Source organism: Homo sapiens, chromosome 11 (genome assembly GCF_000001405.40).
Source record: "Homo sapiens chromosome 11, GRCh38.p14 Primary Assembly".
NCBI classification, from domain to species: domain Eukaryota; kingdom Metazoa; phylum Chordata; class Mammalia; order Primates; family Hominidae; genus Homo; species Homo sapiens.
The window spans coordinates 31,634,422-31,662,133 of record NC_000011.10 but is presented as its reverse complement, the minus strand read 5'-3'; the positions used below and the strand labels follow the sequence as shown (position 1 = coordinate 31,662,133).

The following is a 27,712-nucleotide window of genomic DNA, read 5'->3' as shown; positions in this document are numbered from 1 at the left end:
TAAAGCTTTTCTCCTACATATAATTGTCCTTAATTTAAATTTCTGTTTGGATCAGAATGGTTTCTCAGGAAAAAATTCTGAACAAGCCAAACTGAAGAACCAGATTGGAATTTGTCAGCTTCAAGTGTATAATAAAGAGGTCAATAGGATGATTCTTCAATAAGGATTAGTCCTAGATTCTGTTATGGAAGTGGTATCAGTTACTTTACTGATAATGTGTATTTAAATAAAATTGTAGAATATCCAAAATGTGTTAAAATTCCATTTTACATAATTATTTCATCTGTAACTCATAAGTCTCATGAACTGTTTTCAACAATAACAGCTCATTATCTTATTAGCTGATATTTTTTGAAGGTTGTTTTACTTACGTAAAACCTTAGAAATATATTAAGCATCTAAAGAAAACTGTATTCACACTATCAAACTATTCCGTATAATCTGAAATGAGTTTTTTTAATGGTCACACCCTCTTACATGTTTTGAGCAATATCAAGAGGACATTCATTCATTTATCCATTCATGCAATATTTGACGAGCACTTATATGATCAGGCAATGAACTAGGAAAGGGAGATACAATGATGAATAAAAATACCTACGTTTATAACACCTATGCTCTAAAAGAATGATATTTTCCCAAAGTTTGATACTTTATAAAAGAAATGCATGATGTTTTCCGTGTACTAAAGTATGGCAAAACAAAACAAACAAAACAGTGCAGAATGGATATTCAAGAACTAAATAAAAAGCAGAGAAGATTACTTGAAATAGTGCTCTTCTTGGATACTTACTTCATGATTGGCCTTTGGCCTTAGTATTTTTATACACCAATCAGTCCTACAGGTTTTTAAAGGTTAATTTATCATTATTTGCTTCTTGATTCAAACCCATTGTTAAATTACTTTTGTTAATCCTAGAAGGTATTGTTTGACATTGACTAGAAATTTCATTTTTTTGATAGTACACAGCAATAAAAAATATTAAGGGGGTGTGTGTATGGTTGCTGTGTCTGAATATGCAAGTATAGAGAGAAGAATCTAGAAAGTGTTGAACAAATATATTTCATTATATTTTTAAAATTTCTTCGAGATTAAAAAATGACTTGTATCTCACAAATATACATACATAACATGTAAAATCTAAGTGTATTAAAATTGTTGAAAGAAAATATTTTCTTTGTATTTAGTACAGATCATTATTAATTCATTCAGAATAGATCATTACTAATACTTTATCTGGACCACCATTTTTTCTAAGACTTATTGAAAAGGCTATGAAATATAATTAAAACAAATCACTATCTAGTTGGATTCCTTTTTCATACTTATGCATGACAAATTTTGAATCTCAATGCAGAAAAGATAGACTGTATAAATCCCAACTACTTTGAAACATGCTAGTTTTATGGTAAAGGAGAGTTGAACACTATCACTGTGTTGTGTTTTGCTACACTTAAATATGGTTCATATGTTAAAAAAAAACAAGTACATATGTGTATACATATGTGTAAGCAATTTTCCCTTAAAAGCTGTAACTATGTATTTTAATCATTTTCTATTATTATTTATATCAAGTATATAGTCCTATTGCATTTGGTTTTGGTCAACATTTTAGCATTTTGTTTGTAAAAATATTGATAAGCTACTTTGCGCTAGCCTTTTCTTTGCCTACTGACTACAAGAGAAGTTTACCCATTTATTTACAGGATCAACAAGGGCAATCCACTTCATGCTATAGCACTGACCCTTCACAAAGATCTTGTAAATGAGTAGCCTATTACAATATGTACAAGTGACCTTTAATTGCACCAAGAAGCTTTTTGTTACCATCTTTTTCAATGCTACACCATAGCTACAGTACAAGCTGGGAAAATATTTCTTATGGATCCGGCAGAAATATCAACAAAAAAGCCCGTTTCAAAATATGTAAGTGAAAAGTTTGAGGCATTTAAGTCTACACTATAATAATGCCTTTTAAATAACTATTGATCAGAAAGATAAGCTTTTTTCATTCATATAATTATTTAGAAAATTAATAAACATTTCATTAATTAAAGACAAGAAATGTAATTAAATACAACTTTGCTTTTAATAGCCTTTGGAAACAAAGATAGTTCAATCAAAATTGATATTTGTTTTTTGAGATGGAGTCTCGCACTGTTGCCCAGGCTGGAGTGCAATGGCATGATCTTGGCTCACTGCAACCTCCACCTCCTGGGTTTAAGCAATTCTCCTGTCTCAGCCTCCCAAGTAGCTTGGATTACAGGTGCCTGCCACCACGCCCAGCTAATTTTTACATTTTTAGTAGAGATGGGGTTTCACTATTTTGGTTGGCTAGGCTGGTCTCGAACCCCTGACCTCAAGTGATCCATCTACCTCGGCCTCCCAAAGTGCTGAGATTACAGGTGTGAGCCACTGCACTGAGCCTATAATGGAAAACTTTAATCGTAGTAAAATATACTTCTCTCTTTTTATTAAATGACTATATACGTTCAAGTTTTATTATTTGAAATGTTCAATGAAGAATCCTATACCTTAAAAAACACCCAAATACATTCCAAATATCATTTATATTGAGCAATAATATTTGAAACAAGTTTTCAATAAAGCATAGGGTCAGGTATTTCAACTGATTTACTCAGAAATTTTTGAATGAGTGCAATATATATTTGACATTCTGACAAAAAATTGAAGCCAAATACTCAGTTTCATTAAACCCTTCATCTTGGGTATCTTATTTCTGGAAGGCTCATGCCAAAATGATTTAGTTTGATTCTCTACAACAATGGTGGGTTGACTTGACAGCACCTGACAAAACAGTTCAGTGAATTTCACGATACCAGATACAAAGAACCTAAACTGGCTACTCTATAAAATGTCTACTGTGACTTGGAGTGATGACAGTAATAAATTTCCCAAATTTTTAATTTCTACTTAAGTAAGAGAACCGCTTTACCAGTTTTTGGGTTAAAGACATTCCCATTACATTCTACTTTCTCTTAATTATTTATTATGGTCCACAATTCTACCTTTTAAAAACTAATAATTTATATTTATCATTATATTTTCTTAATGAGGAACAATTTCTTCGTATTACTAAAATGCAGAAAACTTTTTCATAATATTCATCAATAAAAGAGGAAAACATTTTACAATCATAATATTTGTTGCTTAATTTTGATTAAAGATGGTATTTAAAGAACTTCCAGCAAATCAAGCTTTTTGCAAAAGAGAAAAATAGCTCTTAATATGAAAGAATCAAACCTTCATTAGAACCAGTTATGATGACAGGGGAGGAAAAAATTAGAAATTTGAAAAATGAATTCAGTAGACCCTTATTAAAAGTTGTATATACCTTGATTATCTCACAGGATAATTTTTGATGCTCCGAAAATAACAAATGTAAAATACCTTAGAAAAATTTAAAATACAAAAACAGGTTGATTAGCTATAAGCAAATTAATATTGGTAAAAGTACCTGAACATAGAACTTAAGTGAGTACAATCATAATATATTGTAATTAAATTTGGCACACTTTTAGACTGTATCAAAATAGTTGATAAGGAAAACTACATTTCTTTGTATACAATACTTTCTCACTTTCTTTTGGATTTAGAAATCCTATAACAGTAAATAGTATTTTAGAGAATAGCTTTTTTTTTGCAAATTAATTTTTCCATAAAAACCTACCATATTACTAGAAATAAGTAAAAAACAGAATATCATCACCCTAATGTATTCACACATACATATGAATATATATATATATAAAATAACATCATGTTATATAAGGGAGAAGCTGTGATTAATCCAATCATAATTTTATAATGTATTTTACAAAAAGTAGAAATGCATGCTGGGGAACAGAAGAATTTTTAATATGAATGTTACATATATATATATCACATTAACACATTTTCTGAGATTTAAAAAAACATTTTTTATTGAAGAATCCTTCAGGACACAGGCTTTCTGGCTTATGTAATGAAGACGAGATAGCAGTACAGCTTAGGGCATGGCAGATAGTTGGTGGTTAAGAGCACAGGCTTTAGAATAAAACAGGCTTCAATTTAAGTGTCATTTCTGCCAGTTATCAGTTTTGTGACTCCGGATAAGTTAAGTTGCTTGATCTCTCCAAACTGTAAGTTTCCTCATTTGTAAAATGAAGATAATAATGTTATATGGGTAGTTGTAAGGTCTATGAAATAATGCCTTTAAGCACTTGCAGTAGTCCTAGGCCTCTGTTAAACATGTAATAAAACTTATTTTTTTTAAAATTAATAATAATTAACAGAGTTTGTGAACATGTTAGCTTTCCAGTGTTATTCTGCATATGACTTCAGAAGATCTGAATTTAATCCTGGCTGTAACCACAGATGTATGACTTTGGGAAGGAAGGTTATATAACTCCTGTATATTTCTTTTTATTAAATATGTGAAATAGTATGTATGCAAGGGTTCCTGTGAGGATTAAAATTAAATATAATAATGTATATGAAAGCACCCAACACAATACCTAGAACAAAGTAGATACCAAATATATGTTTTTAAAGAAACTTACAGTAGGCATGAGTTACTTTAAAAACTGTAGTTTCACAATTTAACAAATATTTATGGAGCACCTATTACACATACTCAGGATTTAGCTGCAAATAAGACATACTATGTCCTTACTCTTGTGGAGCTTACATTTTAGTGGTGAGGTTGGGAAAATAAACAAATAAACTAATGGACAATTATAAAATACATTACACTGAGAATTCGAACAGTACATGAGGGTGAGTAACTCAGTGAACACTTCAGACAGGCCAGTCAGACTTCTCTAAGGAGGAGGTTGAGGTAGTTAATTTACAATCCAAATGACATGAAAAGGTCTTGAAAAGATCAGAGGGATGAGGATTCTGAACATTTGCTGTGCAAAGGCACTGAGGCAGGACTAAACTTGAAATGTTTTAGGTACAAAAGTATCTGTAAAACTACCTACATCACAAGCTTAAGGATACCATATTTACTAAGCATTTGTATTACAGGCACCTTGGAGGATATACTAGTAAAATGTATCTTCTTACTTTCTAGGAACTTGAAAAATACATTTAAGTGAGGAAATGAAATAGCTGTGATTTGTCATCATTTTCTGTTTTCTTTTTTTCTATCTTCCTTAGACACTATAAATGACACATTATGAAAAGAAGTGTTTCAGAGAGTATCATGTAAACTGGACTAATTCCGCTACAGCAGTTCTACAAAGTCTTGAAGAAAATCTTCGAAGTACTGCAATATAATTTTCTTGGAGCCAAACCATAAAACACATATATAAATGTTTATGTCTGCAAAACTTAGGAAGAAGGGAGAAGAGACCTTTTCCCCTTTGCATATTTAGACAATGCTGAGGCTGTATCCTCCTGGTCTAAAAATTGAGATAACTGCATTACAGGTAACCATGGTATCTTTATGAGAGACTGTTAGTAAGATTCTAAATATTTGACTTTGCTTCGTGCAACTTTTCTTAAATTTCCTGAGTAACTTAGTTATGAATAAATAAATAGTGCAATGTAAAAATATTAGACCCTAAGTTCAATTTATAAAATGAAGATTTTTATATAAAAATTACGGTCAAGGTGTCATATTTTAATTATATTTCTCAAAGAAAGATGATTCATTTGATATAACTAATTATAAGTTTCATATCCTACGTGTTGATGACCACACAGAAACTTTAAGACATATAATAGCCAAATATGAATCTACTCTTCCTTGCCAAATGAAGCAATGATGTTCTGCCAGCCAAACTAACAGGAAGCATGTGAAATGAACACAGAAGCAAACAGGACTTACACTGCCTAAGGGAAAGTCAGCAAGATGGCAGTTTCAATCATTTGGAATAATACTAAAGCAGCCTTAGGCTTTTCTCAGAATGGAAACATGTCACTATTACTGCAATATTTCAACAAATCAGAATGCAGAGAAAAGAACACTTATGCAACCACATCTTGGAAGGGCACTTTACTCAACATTTAAGTGGAAAACAATTATAAAGAAATTTCAGAAAAACTGTCAGTGAACATAAATGACTCAGGGAAAAATGTTTTTTCTTCCAAAGTGCTTAATAGATTTTTCAAAAGCTTACCACTTAGAAACAATTTCCTTATATATTCTCCTTAAGGAATTATTAATATAAAGACAAATTTATATAAAGAGGTAAGTGAAAAGTTTGATATTCAGGTTGCCGGTAAGAAATGCTCATTTTTCCCCAGTACAGTACTATTACTTTGGAAGGTTTGATCAAAGGGAATAAGCTTTCACAACATTTATATAGGAAGTTAAAAAATACTTCAAATATTTTGGGAACTTACCTAATCAGGATACTTTTAGCATGTGTCTAGTCATGTAGCCATCTTTGGTCAATCATCAAAAAATCAAAGGGAAATTGGCATGACTCAACCCTAACTTTAATACCGCATGATTGTGTCGTGTAAGCTTGTTTTGTGTGAGAGCTGCTGTGGTTTTAGCAGAGAGATTAACAACCGGACCTAAGCTGGCCTCCAAACCTTGCCCTGCTGATGCCTCAAGCTCTTTGAAGTCTGACCATCATACCTGGCAAAACAACAGTGGGAACTAGGATGGTGTCAGATCTAATCAAATTGTTTGCTGCAGCATAGCTAACTATGGGGTTCACTAATTGGCCCAATTGCGGATTATACCTTTTGCTACAGATTCAAGACAATAATTTAGTTAAATGATGTTTTTTTTTTTCTTATCTCTTCTAATTAAGATTCCAAAGTGGGAAGAAATAGGATTAGACAGATTCTCAAAACTGTGTTCTCCTTAAGGTGGTATGCACTTTTGATAGGTTAACTATGGCATGTGAAATATATAAAGTGTAGTAAGTATTAAACCAACTTCTGATGATTCTTTGAAACCTATGTAATGCTATTATATGCTGATATCACTTGAGAATAAAAGCATAAACATGAGAATGATAATATAATGAATATATCAAAATGTACACATGTAAAAAATTAGATTTCCATTGTTAAAAAATGTTAATTTGGGTTTATTTTTGACAACTGATTTAATCTAAATGAATAGATGCCTATGTTCAACTTTGATTTTCTTTTCTTTCTGCTAGCTGCAGTGTTATCTAGGAATAAAAGCTAGTTGAAACAGCAAACAATATTTGTAGTATATTGGACTACAGGCCATGATGCTACAACTTAAGAAGGCTCCCAAGCCAGACATTTATATTTCCATTATTTTATTTTAGTAACATAATTGTGAGTTGACAAGCAAGTTAACCATCCTGCTCCCATCTCTAGATACAGTAAACATATTCAACATTCTACTTCTCATTTAAAAACTAGAAAGGCTGCTGAAAATAAGCATAAGAAATAAAGTAAACCTAGGACCAAACATATCATGAAATACTCCAAATTATTACACATTATCATAGCTACTAGCACCCCTGTCCTGTAATTGGTAAGAGTTTATGCTTTTCCAATATGTAAATAATAATCTTATTGAATAATCCTACTGAATAGTACCAAGTTATATGGCAATATAATTATAAATCTAACTTATATTGATTCTATTCTAGTCTTAATACTTGAGAATAAATCTATTACATGAGTACATAAAAAATAATAGCTACTTAATAAAAACTGGTTGGTCAATTATTTTGTGAGAAAAAGTTCTTGGTGACTGGAGAGGTACTGAGGTCCTATTCTGAATTAGGGACAAAGTATGATAAGACAACCTTGAGTAAACATGATTTACTTTGACACTATTTTTTTGACCAATTACAGCCTACACAAGTAGTGTTAATCTTTATATTGAAAATTCGTAGTAAATATTGTAAGTCTTTACAGTATATTTCTTTACAGTGTAAGTCTTTTGTATATTTCAGTGTTAACCCAGTTACTGTACTCTCTGACTTGAACTTAGAAACACCGAATCTTTGAGCTGGAAAACTGTTCCATTACCAAAGTGGAAACTCTCTTTGTGAAAACCTTAATGGATGGTGCAACTAATATAATAATACATTATTATCATTTATATTAGATAATTTTATGACTAGAATGTGCTACAGTATGATCGAGCTGAAAGTGCAAAATCAAAATAGCAAAATATTATTAAGTGCAAGTGAAAATGTTGCACTTATGTCATCAAACATGCAGCCATATTTCAAATTCTGCCTAATCTTACTTGTTTATGTACTATAATTACATCATAATTACTAAAGAAAAAACTGGTTAATGATCGCTTGATATTAAAGAAGCAAAAATTACAGAAGCTAAGAAATGCAAGTTTAACCAGTTATTTTAGCTTGGAAGTGACGCCATGTACTCAAGTTATCTTACACGTAACTAAGAACACAGTGTGTACGGGTCACTTGACTGGTGAAGCTTATGTCATATTTATAGCTGTATTATTTGCACTATTTTTAAAAGCCCATTCATAATTTATCTATATTACATACATTTCAGCAAAGACTTTATACCTATTAAGTAAATAACCCTGTCCTTGATTCTTAGATAGATATAAAGATGAAAAAGACACCATTTATGTGTATTGAATCTATTATTATATCTTAGTAAAGCTTTTGTTTAAAATATTTAATCACTATATAAAAATATAACTAAGCTCGTATAGTACTTGCTACTTAACAAAGGCTCAACAAATGTTTGCTATGATTAAATGGAGGTTAGGCAAGGTTAGGTAAATTCGATCTGGTTAAGATCAAGGAATAAGTAGTATATAATGGTTAATCAAATACTCCAGACTGTTACTATATATAGCTTATAAGAGTCACCAGTTTTCAAAGAATTGGAAAGCTATTTCTTTTAACCTGAAATCATAGTTCAAACTTTGACTTTTACTTATCCAGAATGCATGTCAGGATTTTAGTGCAATTAGTATGGATATGATTCTGCTATGGTTTTTGTAAAGGGGCTAATTTATAGAGCTTTGTAGTTACAGGTATCGGCAAAAATTTTTACTCTGATTAGATAAATATTTTCACTTGAATCTGGACAATACCAACATATACTCTGAGAAGGAAGAAATATTCCTTTGCTTTCTCCAAATCACTCAAAGAAATTAGAGACTATGAGTTAAAGTTGCTCTACCTGTTAGAGGCCCTTGGTAGCTGCTAGTAAAAAGATAATCAGTTTTCATACACATAAAGGGCAATGACTTAACAAATTAAAAAAAAGTTGCCCTAAAAATAGAGATGAGAGTGCTTGTCTGCTTCTTTTGCCCCTTGTTTCCAACCTTGCCCCCTTTTGAGACCATGTGACTGACAGTAAATTCCAACATGTAACAAATCTGCCTGTGGAATTGGAAATGTTATTTCTGCTTTCCCTGCTAAACTACCTTTCACTTCTGAAAGTGAGACTCTGATTCACTGCCTGATTCAATGTCAGATTCAACTCTTTTACTTCTGAAAGTAAGACTCAGATTCAGTAGACTACCTATTTTAGTCTCAGACTTTACAGGCTAGTAAGGTTACATTTTATTTTTAAAAAAATATGAGGACATTTAAAAAGAACATTTATTTGTTGTGAGTATTAAAACAGTAGCATTTGCTCGATGATTTTACCCCCAATAAAGGAATCCTTGAACTAGTTACTTTCAGGGCATTTCTACCCCTGTTTCTAGTTTCTTTAATATATTACAAAGACTTGCTATCTGTTTGGATATGCATTTTAGAATGTACAATGCTACATTTAAAACATTTACTTTTAGGTGAACCACATGATTTTATTCTATTCTAATTATACCTATATATGTACTTCCATTTGGTTTGTTTGATTCCTTAATTTTTATTTTTTCTAATCACTAAATTGAGTATTATGGCTTAAGTAAATAAGTTATTTAGAATGTGTATATTTATATTAAAATAACAAAAAAACTCAAAAAACTTAAGTGATTAGGTTATTAGACAAAAAGGTGCAGAGTTTGAGTATATAGAATTTTAAGAAACAACAGTCTATTTGTGTTTTGTTTTCAAACATTGCTTCTAAACCACAGGTTGACCAATTATAATGATTCTTAGTTTACCATAGTGGGAACAAGAGAGAAAATGGAACAGAAATCTGTGTGGTTAATAAAAGATCTTTCATCAGCTCTGATGGTGAAGTGTAGTTACTATTAGAACCTAAAGTTATTCAGAGGAGAGGTCCCGCTTGACATCACGTAAGTTCTTTATTTCTCTCTTTCCCTCAACTCCCAGTAAGACTCAATGAGACAGAGAAAGAGAAATCATAAACATGATTCACATTACTGTACTACTTTCTTCTCTGGGTACAATATTTACTTTCACAGGGGAATCATCTTGCTTAGTTTGTATGGTAATAGAAATTGTGTCTCAGATGTGGTTGTTAGAATACTGATTTTGGGGAAAAGGTGCCACATGGAGAGAAAAAACTTACGTCTTCCATTAAAAATGTAAACTCAAAAGAAAACGATAATCATGCTTTCCTTGTGACACTAAACTATAACTGTATCCTTCTCAATGTTTTAAGCAATATTATGGTACATTACTCAGTATTCTGTCAGAAAAGCTGAAACAATGTTTGAACAATTACAGTGTTGGGTTCCACTTCAATGGTTTCTTTTGAGAACTAAAGCAAATTAGCTCAAGAATCACTATTTCCACACTCTCACTCTTTTGGCTTTAAGTGGCTTTTGAAGGGAGTGTCCCCAGATGAGAAACTTCTAACACTCCTGCAGAGATGACCTGCTTGAAGAACTGGCTGCCTGATTAACTATTAACTGCTCTCAATAGGATTAGATAATTAAGGACATTGATGACCATTAATTAGGAGGAGGGCACATTAATTTGTCACTGGATAGGGCCCTTACAATGATTTATAGGTTAGTGCTACTTGCAAATGTGAAGGGAAAGAGAAAAAGAGAGAGAACCATTAAGTTACCTTATCAAGTGGCCAGCTTAAAGAGGGCAGAGGGTCAAAAAAGGGCCAAAGTGGTCACTTAAGGGTGAAGTCCCAAACACCAAAGCAGTGCCAAGCCACATTGACCATCATTTGGTGATGAAGTTAAAAATATGCTAATTTATTGGTGGCAATTCTCTCTTTTTATGGTTTCAAGCAGTTAAGACAAGTGGCCTGCTTAGGAGCTTTTCATTTGAAAAGAGATTAAACAAAATGGTTTGTCAAGGCTGCTTGGCTGTTTTATGTCTTTGTTAAAAAAAAATTGCACCGACTATACTGATAACTATCACATCACCCAAAAGCCATCTCTCTCTGAGCATTTACTTCATTAATAAATACATCAATTCTAATTCCTTAATAGTTCTCTGTTCATTTGCTCTTTAGGAAGATTAAGTTGAAATAAATATTTTGTCCTACTACTTTCTGTCACCATTGCTTACGTAAGGGTCACAAAAAAAGTTGTAGTGTCTTAGAAAATGTACTTAAAGACACTAGTGTAAATTATAATTTGTTTAGTTCCACACGAGGAAAGGTAATTTCACTAACAGTAAAGAAAAATGCTTTTAAAATGTAGATAAGAATCCTCTTAGCCACAGACAATAGTGGGTAGCATTCACATTCCACACCCAAGTAAGCGCAGCTCATTAACACTTAATTAAATATGCTTTTCAAAGCCATGGAAATATGCATATCATATTTATCATGTAAGTTTGGAGCTTACTTTTAATAGATATTCAAAAGAAAATCATCTTTGCCATACTTGATATATTGTAAAAATAAAACAATAGTCTAAAAAATTATTGTTATATTAGAAGAACTTAAAAATACTTAGCATAAAACATGTCCTAAGAATTTCATTAAAGTAAAAATAAGTGAAAATGAAAATAAAATAAAGTAAAAATAAGTTAAAAATAAGTTTATCTCAAGATTGTAAACTAAAACATAAAAATTCTCTTACCTCAATGGTGAATAGCTTCCTTTTTAATTTAAAAGCTAAGTCTTTGACATCTGATTCATCACAGATCAAGTTATTAAGCCGAGGAATCTGCCGTATATGAATCAATCCTTGTGGAAAAGAAATTAAAAGAAAAAAAATTTAAAACATTGTCATCAGATGCATAAATTAAACAGTCTTATAGCAGAATCCTGTAAATTTACACACAAGCATCCTCCCCTTTTAAAACTGGAGCTTACTACCAGGAGCAATGAAGCAAATGGTGTGATTATACTCAAGTAATCAAGCAGAATAAGATAAACAGAAATCCTTGTGCGAGGAAAACTAATTGCACTTTGGTACAGAAGTACAGATGTAAAGAGGGATCTTAATACTTGTCAAAACTACAGCCGGTTTGTGTGTGATTTTCTCTTGTATTTACAGTAAGCAAATATGGCTATCACCTTGCATGCTGCCCACGGCACCACTGAGTGATCTTTATTTTATTAAATGCACCACTAAGCAGCCGGCAAAACAAGGCTTATGGGTTACTGATAACCAGTGAAGCACTCATGAAAAATATTTCATTTTGTACCTTATTAATGACTTGAACAAACCATTGAAGAAAACTACATTTCAAAGTACACTCTAGGACCAAACATTAACCCCTATGCCATCCCAAGACACTCATTTCTATGGCATGTTAGACCTTTATGTAGCTGCTATAAGCTTTGCAACAGTGCTAGGTAAACCATGAGCTTTGGCCTCTTGTCAGTAGAAACACTTGCTAATTTTTTCTGACAAGGGCACTGGATAGCTTTTGTGCAGCCTAATGTAGTTTCTGACTAAACTAGGGGTCATTTCCCACAGATGAAGACATGGAAGGTTCTTCACTACATCTTTCTGCCTGACTCAGCTTATATTTAAAAATCGCCATCCCGAGGACACTGATCCAAAACATGGGGAGGAAAGGCAAATTACAGATTTGAACAAAGAGACAAATCTTACTTACAGAACTGCTTCTCTAGTACAAGGTTTTGTATGTGTGTTTAAATGCTTAATAATGCATCTATTAGTCTTAGCTTAAACCTTTAAAGGTACTTAGCTTTAGAAATGGCCTCTTCAAAAATAATTAACTAAAATACCTGAAAATTTTTCAAACTTAAAAAAATTTAAAAGGTGTTTCAAGAAGACAGCTTTTGGCTACAAATTAAGACTATCTCATACATACTATTTAGTAAAATATATTTATTAGAAATAAGCACACCATACTTTTATTTGTACGTTTCTTATTTTAACCTTGAATGTGCTTGCTTAGCTATCAAGAGGCCTTATAGAATAAATTAATAATTTCATCATCAGGTCCTCCTTATTAACAGAAAGCATACTAGTCATTAGAACCACTCTTTACTCGGTGGAAAATAATTTATCAATTCAGAGATTTTAGCACAAAGAATCATAGCCTTTCAACCTTTGCAATATTTTAATCAAAATAATATTTTTTAGAATATAAAATATTTTACAAAATGCATAAGCTCATAATACTTGTCTTATAAAATCTGGTAGCAGGCTTCAAATAAGCTACTCAGTCTTTAGAGGTTTCCACAGAAGTATGGTAGTTCCATAACAATGGTAGCAATAATTTATTTATACTAAGAATAATAGGTAAAAATCTGTTATTCACTACATTCTATATTTGTTTTAGACCTATATTACTAAGACCTAAATACTACACTTTTACTATTCATATAGTTCTACATAAGACTCTTTATTAAAAAGAATCCCCAAATTAACCAAATGACTACAATATTACTAAAAGTAAAAAAAAAAAATAAGCAAAAGTCTGATGAATTCTGCTGTGTTTATATCAAGGTGGCAATATTTTATAATTTGTTCATAACTCATACTAACAAGAAAATGAGTAAACAGAGAAAAGTTCAAACATAATCAAAGATCTTCTCTTTCTGAAAATGTAACTGACTAGGAATCTGTAAATATAATCCAGTATGTATCTTATCATATGGCTAGGCTTTGTAAAGTATAAACTGCTATAGAAAACTGTCATTATTAGAATTAATACGATATTTATTTCAAACATGGCTAGTAAGTATGACTGATTACATGGCTACCTTAAGCCACTAGGATGACAAAATATACACCTGACTCAGCCATGCCTCAGTACTTGGGTTTGACTCCTTTCAGTTATTATAGTCTATAGTCTTAATGTAGTTGGGTAATAAGCTGCCATGGAAGACTGGACAGGAATGGAAAATATTTAACAGGTGTATTATAAAATTCATACTCCTTGACAGTAGATATTTGGATTGAATAGGATGCTTCCAGGTAACCTAGAAGCAGCCTGCTCCTGCTCTTCTCATTATGAAGGTTGTACTTACCATGATAATCCTTATACAATGGGTTAGTTTCTCTCTCAGAACCAATAAATGATTCCAGACCAACTACTACATCTGACAAGGTTGTGACACGGGCAATAATGGCTTTATTCTGCAAAACATGGAAACAAAACAGTAACGTTAAATATTATGTTAATAGTATAATATCTATAAAATATCCCTATGCCATCTCATGAAAAACTGTAGTGGAGATAGACTATCAACAGTGAAATAACTTAAAAGTTAAAGCTACTATAGGCTGAAAACTGGATGGAAATATGCCCTTAATTGAAAATGCTGGCCCATGTAGTCATGCTATTCTAATTTGAAGAACTGAAGGGAAAACATAAATTGGTAGAAGACATAAATTTATTAGTTCTGATAGAGAACATAAATTGATTATTTTTCACTTGTATTAAGGAACAAGACTACCTTTATTCTCATACATGATTATTTTTCAAATTACTTCATCCAATGCCCATTGGAAAACCTGTCAGACAGCAGGATTCAGAAGCAGTAGATGGTACAGCATAAAGTATAGGGCAAGAGTCCCACTGTCGTCTGTCAGCTGGGACAAGGTCCCAGCCCTATAACAGCTGAGGTCCTCTGTGACATATTAGAAACATGGAAAGGACCAGCTAAGAGACTGCAACATGGCTAGCTATGAAGTCTTCTGTTTTCTCTTTCCAGATGCTGCCATTTGGCTCTGGGATAATAATAAAGGGAAAGAAAAGATGGTAGATGACTAACATTTAGACCAGTAGCCTATCCTTTATTTCTCGACACAATCTGAGATGAACTGAAATACTGCTAAATACATTTTAATAAATGTCACATTTTGCCAGATCAAAACAATAGGTTAATATGTTTATAAACATAGTATGTCCAGTTATTAAGTAGCAAAAGTTCTAAAATACTAAGAATCTCCTGGCTATAAGAATATAATCATCAAATATCTGGTAGGGTTTTTTTTTTTAATTCTTTAATTACTGGAAATCTAGTATTCCTTTTAGCCCCTGACAGGGTGGTAGATTAGAAAACTGTGATTATATGCTATGATGTCTTAGACAATTTTTTGCTTGGCAGATCTAGATAAGCTGAAAATGTTTTTTGTAAAATTTTGCAATTTTGAAACTCTCATTTTATACAATGGTAATGCCCACCAGTTTAAAACTAATCTTTGAAGAAGAGAATGGGAAATATAAAACAGTCAAGAAAATTTATCAGCCTGCTATATCCCCTGTTAGAAAGAGGTCAAATATAATAAAAGATTTTCATTTTCTGGGAACATGATTACAACTGAGCTTACTAATATTCTTGTTTCTTAAGTCCCTTTATAAAGATGGCCTAAGAATGAAAAATTAAAGAGGGCTGGTCAATGTTACCTGACTTGGTATTATGAAACACATAGTAGCCTGTGTCACCAAACATTCTGTTGAAATGACTGGTTAACTCACACCTAGAGCAGTATTTGAAACTCCTTCATAAGTTGGAATGTGTGTTATATAAAGAATGTTTCAGCATTATACAAGGAATGTTTCAGCCTTTGGATCAGTGTTGTTAAAAAGAATCAGTAAAAATAATTATTCTTAATTGTCTTTAATATGTTCAATCACGTGGGCACACTAAGTATAGAAAAACATAGTTTGGAAATGCCTATTTTTTCTAAGGCAATTTTTCATTCAATGGTGAGAAAATAATCCAGATTGATTCCTTACTTTCAGTTCTGTGCCACAGGGGATGGTCCTACTCCAGGAATAACAGGGGCTTCAGAGGCCATAAACATGTTCCTCTCAATATTTCTTTAGCCAAAGACCATTATATCAAACTCATCCAGGTTGGGTTTCAGCCAGTTATTCTTCACCCAAACAAAAATGTCTGCCAGACATTCCAACAGCTGGGATACAGTTCACAATGAGTCAACTTGAAAATGATTCATTGTGCTGAGTACTGAACAATGTTGGGGTGGGGGTGGGGTGTGGCTGGGTTGGTAGTAAAGGGTGAGAACAAGTGGGAGATGAAGAATAACCATGTGGCTCCCCCATTAAGAAGAATCATGGATAATAACCAGCAGGCTCTTATCATTTCATTTTTAGGATAAACTCAACTGGGAAGAGTACTCCTGTCATGGACCCTCAGATGAACAAGCATTTATAAAGGCTACTGACAATATTTCTTAATCAAAAGGTCAGATTTCCTTTTATCTATAAATAAAAGACTAAGCCTTTTTATCTAAATATCTGAAACTAAAATGATACAAGTCAATTTTTGTTAGAACTCATCTATTCAAGATTTCAGTGATATAAACTAGGACTTTCTCAATTATATGAATAACAGAAATTGCAAGGTTTAAAGATGAGATAAATTTCCATTCTGATAGTACATAAGCAAAGTACTGTGTATTTAAATGGTCAACCTGACATTTGCTTATTTCAAAGAGGATTTACTTCTTTCATTTAATCTTAACATTTACTAATAAACCATTTTACATCCTATAATGTTTATCAACTTTATAAGTCTTTTAAAGGTAGTTTGTGGGAGATTTAAAAAAATCAGTTATCCACTTCGAAAGGGAAAACTAGTGAATTCTAACTGAAAAATATGCACAGCCTAGATTTCACAATTTTCCAGAAACTCATTCATGTATTTCATTTATTATATTTCTAAGTTTCACAGGTTTGCATCATAGTCATTAACTATAAACAAGAGTCTATTGAAAAAACTTCCATAAAGTATTAGTACAAGAATAATTTTTCATCATACTATTACCATAAAATTAGTTATATAGTTTCACAGTGATCTTACTGCTTTCTGCACATTTATTTTGCAAAATTATTTGTATAATGTGGCAGACCAGATTAATTGTGAAAGTTGTAGGGATATCTGAAAAACATTTATAGAATAAAAAGCAATGGAAATTACATAAGAATAACATCTAAGTTTCTGACTGAGAAAATGTTTATTTTTACTATAAACTTATTCAACCTTCTAGTTATGTGTAGGAGCATAAAAGATATTTGGGCTTATAAACGTATGTGTTTTAAAAAGTTAAAAAAATTGTTATAGATTACTTCTGCACCTCCAAGCTTCATAAGGAATATGGTCTATTGATGTAATCTTACCTTAAAATCATTCTTGTCAAAAAGTCTTTCAAATAATAATATTAATACTAAATGGTCTTTTAGATAAAAGCAGGTGAATTTACTTAGAAGAATATAAAATTAACAGCTTAAAAAACCCATAAAAGCATAATAATCACAATTCACTTTAGCAGGAATACACTATGGATAATAAATTGTCATAATATAACCAGCAGTGTTCAGAAAGCTTTAGCATAATGATCTGAGCAGAGGCCTTGAAACTGGAACATCCATATTCTCATTTTAACAGATTCCAAGTGTTTTTATGTTATTCACCAAGATGTAAAACCCCTTTGGTCTTCAGTATATATTAATAGATAGAAATGGAGAAGTAGAGGCATTTGTACGTCAATTACTTAAATTTGAACATAATCTTTGCATTAATTTTCAAGTTGTTACAATATCGTTTCCAGTACGGAACATTTCAGTAAGGACATTCAGAATTCACCAATCTGGGTAAATTAATGCTTATGGTGTATGTATGTTATAATGACATCACCCAAGTATGTACAATGATATTGCCACCCCTCCTCCTTGCCCATCTGGATATTAAAATGTAGGATGGCTCAAAAATCCTTCTTATCCTAGACAAATCTCCCTGCGCTCCTGGGTGAGAGTTGTCAGCTCTGGATAGTAGCCAAGACATGACTAGGAGGGAAGCCAGAAGAGAGGAAAGCCAGTGTCCAGGAGTTTTAAGAGTTTGCTGGCAATCTCAAATAGCATTGTATTAAGTTACATAAAGGGCTCTTAAAGTTTTCTGTTGCAACATAATTTAATTAATCATTTAAATTTAAAATATGTCAAATGGTGTTGCAAATAAGCAAAGCAAATCAGATTGTCCAGTCTTCTACCTTTGTATTTCAATTTTAATTTCAAAAAAAAACCTTCAGAGTATTTGTTTTGACTGTTCTCTGTTTGGTTTCATAGAGTGTTTCCTGTTTGCCATTATACAATGGTAATACATTTTTTATTAGGGTAAAACAAATCTGTTAAATGGATTTTAAATTAAGGAAGATTAATTTAATGCTCCCTTTCAGATCAAAGTTCTTAAAGTCAAAACTATGAATTTTGTTAAGAGATAAAAATTTAATCACTGCCATTTAAAGCTCCTACAATTTTCTAATAAAAATGGTTCAGATATCTACTTAGAGTTACCAAGTAACAATCAGAATACCTTAAACCCTCAATATTTCCTTATTTTCCCAAAACTAATTATCTCAACAGTATAAAAGATGCAATTTGTACGAACACAAAATATATTTCCAGAAAAAATTTTAGTAAGAGGATTAAGAAGTAATTAACCAATAACTTAATTATCAAGAAGCTTGAAAGGGGTAAATCAATCAACATAAAGCATTTATGCAACGCCTCAAGTAAGAGCAAGTTCCTGAGTTACTCTATACTATTTAAGAAAGATAGGAAAAATAATATGAAAGGAAGAGCTCTCATTTGAGTATGGCACAAATAACAGATTTGGGGCTATAATAGCCCGAAAGCACTATTAAGTTAATTTTGAAGACTTAGATAAATATTTAAGTTACTTTACGTTTGACCATAATACATGATGTAGTGGTTGTGTGTTGGGAGAGAGCGGGGAGGGGAGTACCCACAAGAAAAGCAAGTATGTCATAATCAACAGTTCAATTTATAACATTTTCTGAAAAATGATATGCAGAGAACATGAATATAGGAGAACTTAAGACCTTTCTTTGTTCTGTAATCCAAAAAATAAGCTTGGATCCAAGGATAAATATGGGGATATTTAATAAGACATTTATTTTTCCATGCTTATTAGGTTTTCCATTCTACAGTAATCAAGACTGTGAAATAATAAAAAGTTATTTATACTACATTTTTAACTTTTTACAAACTTGTCCCACTTCCTCCAGAGTTGTCACTTGCTTCTGTGGATTAGATTTTTATTTTATTAAAAAATATTTGATAGTGGGAAAATAATTCTGTTCATAATCATGAAATTTAGAATATTTGTAATAAACTGATGACGGTATTAGATTAAATCTTTCCAGATTTAACACGGAACTTCAAGTCATGGTTAATTTTAGAATACAGAGGAACTTCTGTAAATTAAAAAAATTCTAAATGTAACATTATCTGCCTAGCATCATATAGTAATATTCACATAGGAAAACTGTAAAACAAACATATTTTGGTTCTTTATCCTAAAGCTCAAAACGTATCCACAAAGGGGCTAATGGCAAATATTCCTAACCTTGATGGTGAAAAAAACTGCTAAGATATCAAATTTTACTAGGAATAGGCAATGGAGCCACAACTTTTTGTGTTTTCTACATGGTCAAATACTCAATATTCTAAATTTTGATATGAAAATATTGGTTCTTTATAATTGAGACTTTTTTTAAGAACACATTGTTTTACTTTCAGAAATATTGTTTATATTATATTTACACTGGCTTCAAATATTCAAATAAACATACTTTGCAGAACATTTATTTATATTAGTTTTGTTTCTTTTTCAGTAAGTTATTCTATAAAACATTACAAAAACTTACATATTCTGAAAAGTCAGAAATGGGATGAACAAAATACTGAAATGAATAGGCTGGACAGAATAATGGTATAATATTCAAAATTAATTGTAGGCATTTTTCTTAACTATACATCTAGTTTCATATTAAGAAATCTACCCACAGAAAAATTTGTCTTTCATGATTAAAAATGTTTTATGGGAAACTTCCTAAATCAGAAATCTTTTTTTAGTACTTTGATACTTGAAACCCTAAAATGCAATTCACAGATGTCCAAAAGCTCACGCCCTGCCTTGAAAAACAATTGCTAATATCCAAATATCAAACAGAGCATCCAGCTGATGTTTGTGATGCAGTAGCAGGTTAAAGATACTAAAGTTTAAAATCAGCTTAGAATAATCCCATATTGAGTATAAAATTATAGCCTGTCATCAGGAGCAGGTTGACAAGAGCCAGGTCCAGATGGGAGACTGGCTGGGAAAAAGGCTGAGGCAGGTGGGAAAATGATGGGAACCTGACGGAAGACAGAACTACTCCCTCTGCTGGCAAGGTCCTCACCTGCTTGAATTTTGAACAAATGACTAGCTTTTCTTTAATTATTTAAGATACTATCAATAAATTATGTAAGGTGCCCCCCTTTCAGTCTGCGCATTTTCAAACTCAGGGTGTCTTATTTTCACCAGATCAATTTGGCAAAAATATAAAGATCCAATGTTTCACCAGGAGGTCAAATTATTTATCTTGTAATTTAAGTGCATCATAAACATAAAATATAGCATTGCTTTTATAATATAAGGCCTTTAAAAATTAAGAATGCCTTTGAATTATGTTTGTTGATATATACACTTTCTTGAAGAAAAAAAATTCTTGGGCTACAGACTTCACAATCTCTTTCTCAGGCTCTGCATAATGCCCCGTAATGAAATAATATAGAAATGAACCATATAAATCAACTATACAGGGAACAAGGAAACAGCATGTCACAGCAAAACAGCATAGATGTACAGCGCCAAACCTATCTGATAATCTAATGATCTGAGTTTACAGATATTATGTACTAATATGTAAGAAATTAAGAACTAATGTTGACACAAAAAGTTTGCTAAATTTTACAGAAAAATTATTCAATATTTGATTTTCAATGTAAGTTAATAGCTGCAGCAAAAACATTTAGTAAAAATCTGTTCTAAGATTTTGGCCTACAACCAGAAGCTCCCAGAACAGGAGGGATCAGCTTTTTCACCCACTGTTCTCATCTGAATCCTGGCTTAAAAGCTATTCCAGCTCCCAGCTTTCCAGAAGGCTCCATCCCAGGAATCCTTGCCTGCCATTTGGTTTGCTGATTTTAATCTCTCAGGACTTTCTTACAGTGGCTCTACTATGCTGAACTGGCACTTGCTTCTAGAAGTGAGTTATTATTAAACCTGTAGGTCAATTGTGGCACTAACAACTCTTTGGAAGCTTTCAGCCACAGTGTACAATTTGCTAGTCTAATTAAATATTAATTCTAAGTGTTACATTTTGTGGCTAAGAGCTTTTATTTTCTATCATCAGCCTGGAAGAAAAAGAGGTTACAAGCCTAATTTAATCTCTCCCCTGTCCTTCCCAACATTAAAGATTAACTACATAGGGTGCGAAAACATTATTAAAGAAGCAAGAACTCTTCATATAGCAATAATAATGTAATTAATAGGAAAGGGATAAAACATAACACTAGGACATAATATCTGACGTGGTACTTAAACAGCTTTAAATTGTAATTGTTTACAAGCATGTTTGGTCTCAACATTAAAAAATAAGTATCATTCACATTTGATGACGGTAATCTTTCTTTAAGGGAAAGTACGTAACCAAGTATATAAATAGGAATAATTCAAAACTCATGTTTTCTCACAGGTATTTTTCAGATATCTTACAATGCCAAAGAAAAAAATTTAGTAATTTTATTTGTAAAATAAATGAAAAATTAAATAAAGTTGTACTTGTTTTCTATACACAAAAAGTGATATAGAAGATAGTTTATGATAAAAATAATGTAAAAGATCATTTCCCCTCTTTTTCTCCTACCATATTCATGTAGCTTGAACACACAGGGCTCCCCACACCCCCTTCTGCTCCCAGAACAGTTGTGTCCATCCTTGGACACTGGGCATTATAAAGATGATGCAGTCCAGCAGCCAAAGATTCCATATGTCCAAACAGATGACTCAATCTCCATACCGTGATGAGACATTTCACTATTTATATCATTGATACATTTGAAAAGTTTGGCCCTAAATAGCCCTTTAGCTAATAACTACTACCATTATAGGAACTACAGAATGAATAACAGTATGAACAAGAACATCACAAAGTTATTTTAGAGAAAGGAAAAATATTTTAAACCAAATTTTTTTTATGGTTTACTGAATATGTTTTGGTTAGATTAAGTGTAATGAAAGGTTTCTGAATCGTACTTCTCTTTTAAAGATGAAAATGACAATTTAAAATATATCCTTACTGACGATTTAAAATATATCCTGTTCTTATTCAATATGCATATTTACACAAAGACAAAGTTATACATATACTACTATGCTTAATATAGACAGAACTTTATAGATAATTTAGAGTTTGTGTAAAAAGTTTCAATCATCCTTGTCCAAAAAAGTAAATTAAATATATACGTATAACGCACACAAGCTATGATGTGACTTTAAAAATTAACCGGGTATCAGCATGTGTAGTCTGAAACAAGAAAAAAAGCTTGAGCTGTAAGAATTATAAGTCCAAAGTCTATGGTAGAAGGACTGAAACACAGACTATTTGTTATTTTAAAGAAAAACAGATTCTGTTTACAACTTACTATACTGACACAAAGTCACTGGAATTTGATAAATATGATGTAAAACTGAAATGGATATAATATAATTTAGTTCATTTTAAAAACTGCTTCTTTTTAAACTCTTAAATACGTAAATTTCTTATAATCAATTTCAGAGTCGTTAAGAAGATCTGAAAACATTAAAGGCAGATTCTCAGTTAAGAATATTCTGATTAAGAAAAGAATTCATAAAAAATGACACTCTGAATATCTGGCTTTATCCTTTAGTAACTGTAGCTATGATCAAGAGATTAATCTGTAATTTTCATCCCTAACTATTCTTCTTAATAAAGTGCATTTAAAAAGATCATTTGAAATAAAGTTAGATGACTGAAGGTGGTGTTATGCTTAGATCAACAATTAGATAAAAAATATTTTCCCAAAATTTATAGCTGTAAACTCACAAAAGTATATTTTTCTTCACCATGCAATTATTCTTAGTTCTTGTTTTAAGAATAAAAGATTTCACACTGAGAGAAATTCACAAGGCCATTGGAGTCCACATTTCATAATCCCATATTAGTGGTTAGTTCTAAAGCGGTCCATTGCTAGACTTAGAGTTTAGCTGCTAAAATACTCAGCATGAACAAAAAAGTTTATGGATGTGAAAAGGTTTGTTCTGAATTTCTCTACATAGAAACATACTGTATCATTCACTTCAGTAGGTTCAAAGCTCTAATACATTAATGTTATAGAAGATTAATTTGAAAACACATCAATTAAAATAACACACTAAATAAAATCTCATTCATTTTTCAAGAGACATATTTTAAAAAGGCCCTTTCTCCCTCCTTTTCGTCAGAAAATGAATTTTCCTTGGTATAAGCTAACATGCTGGTAATAGTTTTCTTCAATGAGATAGCTGGGAAAAAATTCTACAGATCAAATTATTATAAAACAGTGGGTATATGACAAAAATTGAATAAGGCTATTAATTGATCAAGTGTCAATGATGACAAATGAAAATATGCTATAGGCTAGTTTCAAATCTGAAATTTGGTTGAATAAAGGAAAGCTAAATAGTTTACCAACTACTGTTCTCTAGACAAGTACATTAAACTCTGGCAATACTTAAAATTATTATACAATGAAAAAAACATACTGACATATTCTATGATCCAGAATGTCAAAGGAGTTTTCATTCTTGCATTATTGTTGTTTATATTTTAAAATTCCTTAAAAGTGCAGACTATGACAGCTTGAATAAAGATTAGCAATAATAAGTAAATTTTCTTTTTGAAAAAAATGCTGTGAGAATGGTATAAGACAACTTTCTCCATTTCTAATTTTATTAATTAGTTTAAGTGTTTCAATATTTATTTCCTGACAGTTTTAGGTAAAAGTGCCTTAAAAAATACAAATCAAAAACAACTTGCCACAGATTATACTAAAAAATGCATAAACAAGGGGAAATTTATTTTCTTTTCACCTCACTAATAAAATCATCATAAGGCACAAAACTAAGTTTCTATTTCCAAAAAGAATAAGTGTTATTGGTCACCATTTCTTGAAGCACACAACTGTTACTGGGAATTGAAAATAAAATTACCTATTTTCAAAAGCCACAAAATGTTTGCATAATTTGGAGGTGGATGACAAATTTTGCTAGTGGTAAGCCAATTCCCATTTACAGAACAACAAATTATTGTTTCATATCTTGCTAGATATGGAAGTCAAACAGTATCCTATTGTAACTGCTTTAAAGTTACCACTTTGCAAAAGAAAAAGATAACTCATTAAAAAGTTTCAAAGGGTACAAAAACATTTCTGTTTCTAACAGTAAAAGGGGGACAAGCAGCACAATGCTGAGTGTAGCCAAAATATAATAACCTTTAATATGGGTATTTACACCAAAGTTTTTAAAAGTTGCAATAATATTCTTATAATTATAATAATATGTAGGAAGAGTTTAAATATAGTGTTTTAGTTACTTTTCTTAGAAGTAACCTTTTCTTTTTTTCTTCTTTCAATCCACGACAACCTCCTTCATTCAACAACAGAGTTTTGAACAGTTGAGTTGTGAGAATGTGAGCAGCTGCTGTTATTATAACTAAAGGTCTGTCTACTGCTTGAGTCTGAGAGACCACATGTTCGGCTGTCCTCTCATCTTGCCATCCTCACCAATTAACTATTAACATGGAGGGCTGTACACATGCTCTTGGGGGCTCTTTAACAGGCTTCTTGGCGAGTGGAACAACTACACAGCAGGGATCTGGGAACTGAGTAATGCTGGAATATAGGGGAGCCGTCCATAGTTCTGCTCCTTCTAATGACACTTTACTCCACAGTTCAGCATGTAACAAAGTCTGTACTTAACTTAGCCATTTTCACACACATTTTTAGTTCAATGTCTTTGGGCAGATACTAAAACTATATTCTATCAAGAGACAATATGAGTAATAATATTACTTCAAAGGGAAAATTGTTTAAGATTATATGCATATACACTTAAGACATTCATAATATATTTGTTGAACAATTTTCGTGTTTTCTTAACAGATATTTAGAATTTATTTTTATATACTCGTTCCAAAGTATGCTTGCCATTTTTTTCCTGTGGCATTAAAGAAAATAATCTTCAACCTGAAGGAAATAAGAAATTTCAAGTTCAAAGTTGTGGGACTGAACATAAAACATTTCAAATGCAAATTAAAAAATAAGTCTTCTTCATTCTACTCACAAAAGTCTTATTATAACAATAAGTTAAAATCAGTTTTGAATCTATGTCATTATTTTCCCTATTTTAACTTTTCCCTCTCTTTGCAATTTCCTTAACTATGTGTTCTTTCCCCTACAATGAAATTAAACATGGGAAGCATGCCAAAAGTACAATAAAGGGTAACTAATCATTACTATACAAGTCTGACAGAATGCTAATAACTAAAGTAAGAACACCGATTGGCTGGTTTAACAATTCAAGAAATAAGGATATTTTATACAAAGTACCTTTAATATTAATTTATATAATGCACTCAAATAAAGATATCACAATTTTATTATCTATACATACCCAACTATATGTATGATAAAATTTTCAAGGATATCCAACTACATTTCTACTTCTGCCCGAAACCACTCTACTACCATCCCCAAGCTCAAGTATTCATATACTCACATATACTACTTTTCTGTTCCATCCTATCTTTTACATTGTTGAAAAAGTTCCATGTGAATAGGAATCTTGTTTGTCTTGTTTGCTACTGTATCCCTATGGGTGCCTAGAACAGTGCCTGCATTATTTGTTAAATAAGTGTATAAGCTAACTTACCCACAGTCATTCAATCACCATTTAAACCCTAACTTACAATCTCCAGAGGTGGCACTGGTCATAGTGGACAGGAAGTTGATGAATGATGTTTAAAGAGTCTTGTTACAACATGGTGATGCTACTAATATTTGGATGGCCAACTGACTTTATCTATGCCTCCTGGTCTGTCTCAGGCCTAACCTGTGAGAAGATCCTGTCAGTGTTTTTCATAAAAAGAGGCTGCTGGAGATTTCTATTGCTTTGATAGACTTTTATATCTTATTTTTTGTAGCCTGATCTCTGTTCAAATCCTCAATTTTGGAGATCTGTTTAAGTAATAATAGTGAAGATGACAACTGCTAACATATATTGAATGCCTACTATGTGCCAGCACTGTTTAAGTACATGTTATTACTAATCCTCTTCACTGGATACTTTTTGCTCCATTTTCACAGATGAAGCTGAGGCTGAAAAAATTAAGACTTGACTAAGACTATGAAACTAGTTGGATCCATCTGCCTCTAAGATCCCAGGTTCTTTCTATCATCGAATGGTACTTTGTGCAGTTTGTTTCTAAATTTTGACTCTAGTATCTAGGTTGAACAAGTAGCACAGCACAGTGGCGTTAAGATTATGGTAATAGGAGGTAGACTACTTAAGTCTAAAGTCTGCCACTCATTAGCTGTGTGATCTTGGGAAAAGATAATGACAGTACCAACCATACAGGGTTATTATGAGAATTAAATGAGTTGATATTTGAAAAGCATTAAGGACTGCAACTGGCCCATAGTAATCACCACGTAACTTTTTATTAAATAAACTCACAGTGCCCTGGTTATATGTATTCGTACATCTTTGATTACCTTTCTAAGCATACTGCTTGCAATTCTTATTCTCTTTCCTTAGCCAAAAGACTGATTTTCCTTGACAGACTTTAAAAGTTCTTAAAAGTTTTACTTCATATTTATATAATGATGGGTTTGAACAAGTACAAGTTTTATATTTTCTCCTAAACATTTTCATATAAAAACAAATATATGGTCAGACATTATGTTCAAAGAGCAAGGGAAAATTTACTTGTTTTTTATAACTCAATTGGTATTAGGGCCAGAAGACTACTATATGATAACTTTGCAAAATCGTCTAGGAATGAGAGATTGAAAATTGGAAAAATTTTAGAAGGTTGTGCAGTTTTTTAAAAAAAGACATTCTCTGTTTTGAGGAATATGTCTTAATTCTTTGTCACACTATATAACTTTATACTCATTACCAAAATCTGACCCTATATTTTGCTATGTCTATTTCAAAGAAGTCTCTTTACTGCTATGTTAAGAAGCATAAATTTAATCTCTCTTCCAGTTATACAGGGGCTGAAATATACCTGTAAAGTATCAAAGTTAAAATATTGTTTCAGGTTCAGACATCCAGATCACTACATCATTCACTCATTATTTAATCAGTTATCTAGATAGGCTGATTGGAGGTCATCTGATAGAATCTGCTGTTCCCTTAAACAGAGGGTACAGGATTCACTGTCACAGAAATCCGCAATGGGAATCTCTTCCTTAAGTAATAAAGATGCTCACCAACAAAATGGCTTTAAAAAAGTGTTTCCCTTTTCTTTCTTTCTGTTTTCTCACAGAGGCCCCTTTGGAATAAAATTTAAAGTTACAT

At 31.8% G+C, this 27,712-nt stretch overlaps 1 protein-coding gene across 3 annotated transcripts in view, besides 8 other annotated features; it reads right to left on the bottom strand.

Annotated features, from left to right (window-relative positions):
- Nucleotides 1-21,329: part of a biological region, named in NCBI's record as "PAX6 downstream regulatory region", that runs on past the window's edge. NCBI's record gives its function as "regulatory_interactions: LOC106014249 | PAX6".
- ELP4 (elongator acetyltransferase complex subunit 4) overlaps nt 1-27,712 on the bottom strand; it is a 280,558-nt gene that overhangs the window by 128,191 nt on the left and 124,655 nt on the right. For all 3 annotated transcript variants that reach the window (NM_001288725.2, NM_001288726.2, NM_019040.5), the window contains exons 8-9: nt 14,285-14,393; nt 11,913-12,019 (exon numbers count right to left, since the gene is read on the bottom strand). In NM_001288725.2, coding sequence (NP_001275654.1) covers nt 11,913-12,019; nt 14,285-14,393 — 216 coding nt within the window. The remainder of the gene's footprint in view (nt 1-11,912; nt 12,020-14,284; nt 14,394-27,712) is intronic.
- Nucleotides 1,039-21,329: a DNaseI hypersensitive site, noted in NCBI's record as "region spanning HS 1-8; the nucleotide coordinates are approximate for this feature". NCBI's record gives the evidence for it as "EXISTENCE:in vivo cleavage assay evidence [ECO:0001075][PMID:11590122]".
- Nucleotides 5,050-9,622: an enhancer, noted in NCBI's record as "4.5 kb HS234 fragment". NCBI's record gives its function as "enhancer in optic primordium, retina, and olfactory tissue" and the evidence as "EXISTENCE:transgenic organism evidence [ECO:0001131][PMID:11590122]".
- Nucleotides 5,845-7,044: an enhancer, noted in NCBI's record as "MED14-independent group 3 enhancer chr11:31676638-31677837 (GRCh37/hg19 assembly coordinates)". NCBI's record gives its function as "activates an origin of replication core promoter dependent on BRD2, BRD4, P300/CBP and CDK7 cofactors, and independent of MED14, by STARR-seq in HCT116 cells {active_cell/tissue: HCT116}" and the evidence as "EXISTENCE:reporter gene assay evidence [ECO:0000049][PMID:35650434]".
- Nucleotides 10,475-13,882: an enhancer, noted in NCBI's record as "HS5+". NCBI's record gives its function as "enhancer in olfactory epithelium, diencephalon, and other areas of the brain and eye" and the evidence as "EXISTENCE:transgenic organism evidence [ECO:0001131][PMID:22220192]".
- Nucleotides 14,774-16,610: an enhancer, noted in NCBI's record as "HS6". NCBI's record gives its function as "enhancer in precerebellar neuroepithelium and anterior extramural stream as well as some optic and olfactory cells" and the evidence as "EXISTENCE:transgenic organism evidence [ECO:0001131][PMID:22220192]".
- Nucleotides 16,067-16,267: a silencer, noted in NCBI's record as "peak1241 fragment used in MPRA reporter construct". NCBI's record gives its function as "represses an SCP1 promoter by STARR-seq MPRAs in K562 erythroleukemia cells {active_cell/tissue: K562}" and the evidence as "EXISTENCE:reporter gene assay evidence [ECO:0000049][PMID:32103011]".
- Nucleotides 17,979-18,273: a silencer, noted in NCBI's record as "tiled region #7281; HepG2 Repressive non-DNase unmatched - State 23:Low". NCBI's record gives its function as "represses a minimal TATA promoter and a strong SV40 promoter by Sharpr-MPRA in HepG2 cells {active_cell/tissue: HepG2}" and the evidence as "EXISTENCE:reporter gene assay evidence [ECO:0000049][PMID:27701403]".